Source organism: Homo sapiens, chromosome 3 (assembly GCF_000001405.40).
Source record: "Homo sapiens chromosome 3, GRCh38.p14 Primary Assembly".
Lineage (NCBI taxonomy): Eukaryota > Metazoa > Chordata > Mammalia > Primates > Hominidae > Homo > Homo sapiens.
The window spans coordinates 182,001,999-182,011,006 of record NC_000003.12 but is presented as its reverse complement, the minus strand read 5'-3'; the positions used below and the strand labels follow the sequence as shown (position 1 = coordinate 182,011,006).

General features: G+C 40.8%; 1 long non-coding RNA gene across 1 annotated transcript in view; it reads right to left on the bottom strand.

Annotated features, from left to right (window-relative positions):
* Positions 1-328: 328 nt before the first annotated feature.
* LINC01206 (long intergenic non-protein coding RNA 1206) overlaps positions 329-9,008 on the bottom strand; it is a 58,315-nt gene continuing 49,635 nt past the window's right edge. The window contains exon 8 of the long non-coding RNA NR_104146.1: positions 329-8,233. This is a non-coding gene — a long non-coding RNA (long intergenic non-protein coding RNA 1206). The remainder of the gene's footprint in view (positions 8,234-9,008) is intronic.

Genomic DNA, 9,008 nt, shown 5'->3' with positions numbered 1-9,008 from the left:
GCTTAAGAAATGCTGTTGGTCTACCTGTGTGCGCTGGGAGGTATTTGGGAGGTGGAGGGAGGGATGGTATAAATGAATGCACTTAGTCTCTCCACAATTAAAAGTGCCAATGGATGTACTGAGTGAACCCAGAAGCAGTTACAGTTCGTTAAGCACAATTTTAGAAAAGGGTTTACAAGATCTCGATTAAAAATGTCAACTGAACTAGCTTATTTAGAGTTCTCGTCCTAATACTTTGAGGGTTTTTTAAAATAAGAGCATCGTAAAAATACTAAAGGATTTTTTTTAAGATGGATCAAATTCACACTTTAGAATAAACGATACACAATTTTGAAATAAACTTAGCTTTAATTGTGTGTATGTAATTATATATGATACATATTTTTCAAATACAATTCAGCCACTACTGACATAAAGTATCAAAAAAATGCATGAGATGAAAAACTACATAGCAAGTGGGTGAAAGTAAAACAAAATGTAATTGAAAATAGAAGAGTATGTCCAGCTACATATTGGCACCTTTAATTTAGCACCTTTAATTAAAATTTCCAATTTAATTTTATTCTTAGTGATCATCCAATTTAGACAAACATTTGACACATTATAATTTTAAACGCACATGAGAATTACACTCATTTTTCTTTTCTCATTTTCCAGATCACTTTTTAAAGTATTTTACTCATTTTTTCAATATACAGCCACACCTAGAAATAAATTTATATAAATATCATAATAGACATCCCTTTTTAGTCCCTTTCTCATACATTTGCACAGCTTCTCCCATCCCTCCTCTTCCACCCGCATCAGCACTGTCAGGCAAACCCATGATAACAACTTCATATATATCCTTCCATGTTTTTCCAGGCTTAAACAATCTTAGATGGACATACACATACATATGTGCTTTTTTTTTTCTCTTTTCAGTATTTGTTTTACAGAAATAGGATTATCTTTTACCAAATGCCCCAAAAGGCCACAATCTATAAAGATTTAGCTCAATCTTTACTCACTGTCTACATCTAAAACTAGCAGTTTTATAATGTTTGGCATACCACCAAAAAAATAAACTAATATATTAATACTTTGGACTATTTTCAAAAGTAAAGTTGAAATAAATTGATTTTACAGATCAATCTTTACTTAAGCTTGGTGAGAACCCATTGCGAAGAGTCCTGGGCTGAAGGGAAGAAAATCTATGGGTATGGTTCTAGTTCAGCCATGGACCACACACAGGAGGAACTTAACAACTCACTTTGCTTGTCTGGGTCCCAGTTTTCTCATTTGTAAAATAAAGGTCTTGAACCAGATGACTTCAGGGTCACTTCCAGCTCCAAAATGCTAAGATTCCTTCTCAGTAAGAGCTTGATTCTCAAACCATTTTCTTGTTTTTAACTGAACTTTTTTTTTTTTTAATGCCTGCTGTCATGCTCTGTCTACCAGGGTGAATTTCCAAAAATTTCTGCATAGCAATTTTAGCCAAAACTATATATGTTCTGGGGAGGATAGGCATAGGCACATTGAAGACCAAAGGAAAGAGTGAAGAAGTGTAGTTGGGTCATTGTGAATGGATGTTTAGATTGTCAAGAAAAGTGGGCCAGAGGCCCCACCTCACACTAGGACGGCAATTGCCTCTCATTAGTATCTCAGGCACCATGGGTCTTATTTGGTGTCATAAGAAACACCCTCAACAAAGTAATGAACCCTCAGCCTCCAGCTTCTCTTCTTCGGGATTCTTCTTAGGGCCTCCTTTTTCCTTTTATGTTTCCAGTACCCTGAATTTCTTATTCCCATCCCCCATTAAAATCTGCTTCAAAGAAAAAACAAGAAGGACACATTCACTTTAAGATCCAAATGAATGATAAGAGCTTAAAACATTATACTTATCAGTATTATTTGCATTTTTATAGAAACCAAAACCATATTTCAACAACAACAACAACAAAATTCCAACAATAGAATTGTTGTCAAGGATAAGAGAAACATAGGAAGAGGGCCTGTGGAGCTTCTACAGCACTCCCGAATGGACACATTAAACCCCATGAGAGGGCCCTGAGAATCCATTACAAAGTGCCCTGGGCTGAAAGTCAGAAAATCTATGGGCATGGTTCTAGTTCAGCCATGGACCACACATAGGAACTTAACAAATCACTTTGCTTGCCTGGGTCCCAGTTCTGTAACTTGTAAAATAAAGATCTTGAACTAGATGACATCAAGATCACTACCAGTTCCAAAATGCTAGCATTCTGTCGCCACAGTGGCTCCTCTGAGTGGACCACATTATCATCTGAACCTTTTTTTAAAAACTTGCATGTTTGCCACAGTACCATAAGGAACTTCTTGGTAAATCTCTGTTCTGCATTAGTTGCCTTTCTACCCCTAAATACCCCCTCCTACCACTACAGAAGAATGACTCCAGAAAAGTTTCAGCTCCAGTTCCACATGTGTGTTGATCAGTTCCTTGGCTGCTCACAAGACTATTCCATGTGTTCTCAATTTTTCTGTCTATTAAGCTCAACTCTACATTTCTGATAGGACTTTTTTTAAACATAACTGATCATGCCACTCCTGCTCAATTATCTATACTGGTTTCTCATCATCTACCATAGCAAATGCTGTTGGTTGCCAACTCAGCAATCAATTGTCTCCCTTTCTCCTACTCTCTATCGGAAACCCAATTTTGTTCCAGTATCCTCTACCTGGGCCATATAATCCAGAAGAAGTGGGACAGTTCTTCCAGGGAGTGAATCAAGATTGGTCTGAGCCAGTAATGGTGGTTGCATTCCCCTTGCCAGTGAATGGTTTAGGATTGGGCACGTGATGCACTTTTGGCCACTGAGGCATGAGGATGAGTCTGATGGGAGTGGCAGGAGAGCTCCTTAGGAAAGATTTTCCTTACTGATTGAAAAGACACAAATCAAGACAAAACAAACACCAACAAACCTCAAAAACAAAGAAACAAATCTCTCTTCCTCTTTGGTCACCTTGCGATCAGGAGAAGAGCAAGTCTGAGAGCAAACCATCATACCAAGGATGGCAGAGCAAAAAAAATGGAAAGAACCTAAGTCCTTAATGACAGAGTCGAGCCACTGAATTCAGTCATCCTGGAACTGCCTTTGAACATATTACATGTGCTAATAAATTTTCCTCAGTGTTTAAGCCAGTTGAATTGCAGATTTCTGTTCCTCGCAGCTGAATTCATAATAATAAATGTATGGTGTAAAACTAGCATACTTTGACATACAAGAACCCTCGTGTTCTGACCACCTCATCTCCATCATCGTGCACTAGACTCTAGCCACAGTAGCCTTTGCCTTCACCATTACTCATCCTACAAGTTCCAACACAAGCACATCCTCCTCTATTAAACGTTGACCACTCTCCTCAGGCAGACTGTGCTGTCTTAATTTTCCACAGCATTTCTTGCATGCCTCCATTATGTTATCATCTGCATGCCTGTCAACCTCACTAGACTGTGAACTTCTTGAGGGTAGGGGCCAGTTTCTTTTGTATTAACGCCCTACACATATGCCTGATTCATGGGCACACAATCAATATCTGCTGAATGAATGTAGTACAAGGACCTTATCTATCACTTCAGAAATGCTGCTCACCTCTAATTTAGAAAGTTCAGTTCCTTTGTATCTCAGTATGGGCCTTGCCTAGTAGGCTGTGACTCAAATTCACAGTCTGAATAACTGAAGTATCTGTAACAACAAAACCACCAGTTCCTAACTAAAACCTTCATGAACTTTGATAGGTGGCTTTGGAGTTAGTTATGTTTCACAGCCTGTCAAAGAAATGGACAATGGAGGGAAATGTGCCTCCAATCATTTGGGCAGTATAAGAATCCTGTCCTGCAGCTTGACTCCAAGATGAAAAAATGGTAAGGCATGACAGGGCTCCCCAGTTGATCCATCTCAAGAGCATTAATACAGGCTTAGTTTTAGAGCAACCAAAACTCTCAAAAAAGAAGGGTGAAACAAGCAAGTTTCAGGCCACAGAACCAAAATGTGAATCAATTCAGCATAAGTACTCCTATATGTTTTTAAACTGCTTAGCCAAGACCAGACATCTTCTGTTTAATGAACTCTGCTGCTCCTCTGTGCCCCTCCACATACCACACACACATAAACACCCAGGAAATCAGTTCACCTTCTTTTTGCAAATAAAAGCAGCTTCTTTTGATAGGTCTAGTGAGAGACAGTTTTAAAAGTTCACATCTGCCCAGATGTGAAACAAAAGACACACTCGGTGATAACAAATGATAAATTGCTGAGAACTGGAACCCAACAATTTCAGCAATCCTCTATTCAGGCCAAAAGCACTCTTTTAAAAATGTAGGTCACGTTTAGTGTGACAGGGGGTGAACAATTACACTAGGGTTGAGATGACTCATTTAAATAGCATAATTCAAATATCCTATTCATCTTGCAATATAATCAAACTCCTGAGAGATTGCGACGCTCTTTGAAGAAAAAAAAGAAAAAGTGACAAAGAGGAAAAATGCAGGGAAATTAACATAGCCTGGATATGCAGGTACCAGAAGCTGGAGGGAGTCAGGGTGAGCAGGATGCTGGCCGCCATAAAAATAAGGAGCCCTGATCAGCCCTCGAAAAGCAAATAAAAAAATTACCCTCTACTTTTCCCAGAGTCATGCATGAGTCCCCGCTGACTACTCACTATCTGCCGGAAAAATACAGGAATGTAAAATCAGAGCCATTCCATTATCAAATGTGCTGAGCGCTTACTATGTGCTGGTAATGGGGGTGCAAAGAGAAGACAAAATTCTTCTTGTGGAAGAAGCCCTCACAATAGTAGGGGAAACAGATGAAACATTGTGGCTGTGCTAGAACAGAGAAGTAGAAAAGACACTTCTGAAGAAAGTAAATTGAGTGTGAGTGTCTCAAGGCAGGCCTCACAGGACTTCTGTTTAAAATGTCTTGAAAGATGAGTGGAATTCTTTACATGAGCAAGGAAGGATATACTGGGCCTGTTACGAGAGGCTCAGAAATAAGGAAACCTGTCAGAAGGCAGGAAGCTCGAGTGGGTGGGTTGGAGGACGGGTTGGAGGACTGCCTGGAGTCATATGATAAGAGGGGGTGCGAGTGACTTTCACATATATGCCCTGCCTCGAGCTGCCTCTCCAGTCTCATTTCCTCTGACTGCTTTCTCTAGATTACATGCTGGGCACATCCTTAAACACTCTGCCTGTGCCTTTCCAAGCTTTCCTCCCTAAGCATGTGCCCTGCCATCTGCCTCAAGTGTTCCCTCACTTTGTCTCTTTTCTGTGCCTGGGCCCCTCAGGTCTCCATAAAGCCCCCACTCCATATCCTTGGGTAGACTGAGGTGCACCCCTCTCTGTGCCTCTCATGTGTCCACTTGGTTAAGACAAACTGTGCGTCTCCTTAAAAAAGGCATAGACACAGTCCTTGCCTTCACAGTCAGCTCCTTCAGAGAGCTTGTGAACCCAAAGCCCTATAACACAAAGCAAGATGAAAAAGCCATGAGAAGCACCATGACAGTACGATTCCCGGCACTCAGATGAACACTGTAAGTCCTGAGCTGCCTCATTGTAATAAAGGCTCCAGAAGCCAAAAGCATTGTCCTAAGGGAGCTCCACTCTGGCCTCATGCCTCATTTCTTCCAATTCCAGTGTCTCTCACTGTATTGTCTCAACCCATGACCCCAATTTAGTTTCATCTTTTTAATTTTCCATTTTGAGGATTATCCAGTTCTTTTTCTACCTCACAACCAATTGTCTTAGGAGACAACAGTGAAAGAGAACACAAGTTTTGGCTTCAGGCAGAATTGGGCTTAAATCCCAGCTGCAGAAACCTGACGACTTGCAGTAGAATTTAAGGAGATGATAACATTGCACTCTCCCAAGAAATAGTAAGCTTTCAATAAGCCATAACTCTCATGGCTATTGATTATCCTTGGAGTCATCTATCACTTCAGTCATCTCCAAGCTTCATATCTAGGGCCATAAATTCCACCCATTTTCTCCCTTCCCTTTTCTTCTCCACTCTGTCCTCTTTCTCTCAACAAGAGTGACAAATCTCATGCAACTCTGAGACTCTGCAAGTTTCATAAAAGAAGTAGCATGTGTGATGCATCTGAAAGAATAGTGGCACCTCGAACTGTGGAGCTGGCAGGAAGAAGGCATGCCAACCACAGTAAATGGTGAATAATGACAGAGATAGAAAAGCCCATATCTTGTTCAGGCAAGGGACTGTGGGTGCTGCATTTGGCTGGATTTAGGGGTCCATGCCAAAGATCAGAATGGACAGAGTCTGGGACCATCATCTGTATCTCCTGGGAAACAACAAACATGGATTCATGGGGGAAGGGGGTAGGGAGACTGTACGCAGGATGCATTGGGAAGAAAAGAGAACAAACCACAGTTTGTGTCTCAGATACATCCTGCATGTCATGCAAAGCATACTGTACGCAGGATGCATTGGGAAGAAAAGAGAACAAACCACAGTTTGTGTCTCAGATACATCCTGCATGTCATGCAAAGCATACTGGTCCTGAATTGAGAGTCCCTGGGCTCCAAGATCTGTAACCAATGAGGTGAGTGATCTTGGGACTTCAGTTGGCTCATCTGTAAAATGAGATGCTTGACCTTCATGTTGAGGCACCCAAGTTCAAATACCAGCTTGATCACTTATCAGAACAAGAAGACCTTAGGTAAGATATGAAACTTTTTGTTGCTTTCACTTTCCTTGTCTGTAAAATGAAGATAATAGCGCAATCATTCCCTTGCAGTGCTCCTGCAAGGATGCAATGCCAAAACCATACCTGGCACACAGTAGAAATTTTAAAAAGCAAAATGGTGCTGTGAAAAAAAAATCATGGGCCTTTCAATTACAGAAACAACCATTCAGCAAAAAAATTTTGGAACACAACATGGGCTAGTCTGAGATACAACATGAAAAGGTTTTTGTTGGTTTTTCTTTTTTTTTGGTCCATTTTTCAAAAAAAATTATTTGAGTAAATAATGTTGTTTTCCACATATATGTTGTCTTCAGAAAATGTTAATATATTATTAGGAAGATAGAAAAGCATTTGAAGTCCCGAAAGCATTAAAACTCAAGTAAGCCTTTGATTTCTAACCGGAATTCCAAAGAGAACAGGTTATCAAATAGAAATACCAGTGTACCACTTGTTTTCCCTTGCAATTCATGGAGACTCTAGAAAACAAACAGACCACAGAACTATAATCAAGCATTTGCCAAAGTCAACAAAGCCTTAAATATCTCCAAATTTTGTCTGTGACAGATCTTTTTGTCCCCCTTCCAGAATGTGGTGACCAAAAATGTGTGACTTATTTAAAGACTCGGGCTGATGAGGTCCTGCATTCGTTCTTAAAAGAACTTCCAGGAGTTTCTAGTTCTACTCCACCCTTCCAACACATCAGGTACTTATCTAGCATTAGGAAAACAAATGGCCACTTTGCACTTGGGTTTCTGCCTGCTTCGCTTCCCAAAGACCAAATGTGAGGACATGTCTCCTTCACCTTGCAGTGCCTCCCATATGACAGTCACCACACCTAATGTGTATTCAACCCTCATACATATGGCAGACTCACACTAACCCACTAACCTGAATGTTCTTGCTATTACACCTATTGCCTCCCAAAGTACTGAAGAAAAAGATATACCTGGAATAAATGGATGAATGAGCTTTCACATCTCATGCCATTCTTTCTACACCAAATACTCTTTCTTTTCATTTTTGAGACTTCTCAAGTCTCCTCAGGAAAACATTTCCTCACTGATGCTTGCTCAGTTCTGACTATTTTCTGCCACTGTGTCCTTGTTAACTCTTATGTACTTTATGTGTGTTGGGGGAATTGTCACCTTTTTTTCTCTCTCTCCCTTTTTCTTTTTTTTTTTTTTTTTAAAGAGACATGGTCTCACTATGTTGCCTAGGCTGGTCTTGAACTCCTGGGCTCAAGTGATCCCCCAGCCTCAGCTTCCCAAGTAGCTGAGACTACACGTGCTCATAGCCATGCCTTGCTTTCCTCTCACTCTTAGGCAGGTTGCTACAGGGAGTAGCCTCTCGCCAGGCTCTGTCCCTTTGCTCTGCCATCTGCTTTATCTACTCAGAAACTTCCCATTGCCTAAGCCTCCCTATTCTTGCCCTGGCTTCTCACAAAAGATGCATCTCCAAGATAGACAGAGCAGGAGCCAGTTCCCAGATTCTCATGACTATTCACCACAATCACCTACAGAGGAAGAAGAAAAAAAAGATGAATATATGCATATATTGTTTTCTGGAAGGATAACAAGGAACGGTTAAGTATTTGCCTTTCGGAAGAACTAAGGGCTAGGTGGGAGGGGTACAAACACATTCTTTGCTGTATTGTCTAAATTTTTACTTTAAGCATGCATGTCAATTTTTTTTAATCAAAAAATTTAGATGCCCAAGATTATAATTTAGGAACAAGCCTCAACATCTGCATTTTATTTAAAACTCTGGGTGATTTTGATGAAAAGGCAGAGTTGGGGCCCATGGGAGTAGCAGAAAAAATGTTCGTGTGTACACGGCGTGTAGGTGTAAATGCACGTGGGATTGTGTATGGTGGGGAGGGAGATGGGGGCAGGATTCCACAGCAAGAAATTTCTTCTCCCAGTATGCCATCTCTAGACGTTTCCCCTGCTTTCTCTTTCCCAGAAGCCAGATCAGACCATGAGCTCAGGCAGTTGCCTTCGCTAAAGAAAGGCCAGAATGGAGCTTGTTCCTCATTGGAGGGTAAGTCATTATTAGTGAAAGCCATGGATTCAGGAGCCAGATAGCCCAGGTTCAAGTCCTGGCTTCAAGTATGTGACTTTGGGCACTTCTGTCTGCCTCAGCTTCCTCTTATTGTTGCATGATGATTAAATGTGCCGCTATGTCTAAAGTACTTACAGCTATGCCCAACATGGGAAAAGCAGGGGGTAATCACTGGCTTTTAGCAGAAACAGAGAAAGGAGGTAAGCCCCTTTTTATCACTGAATCCA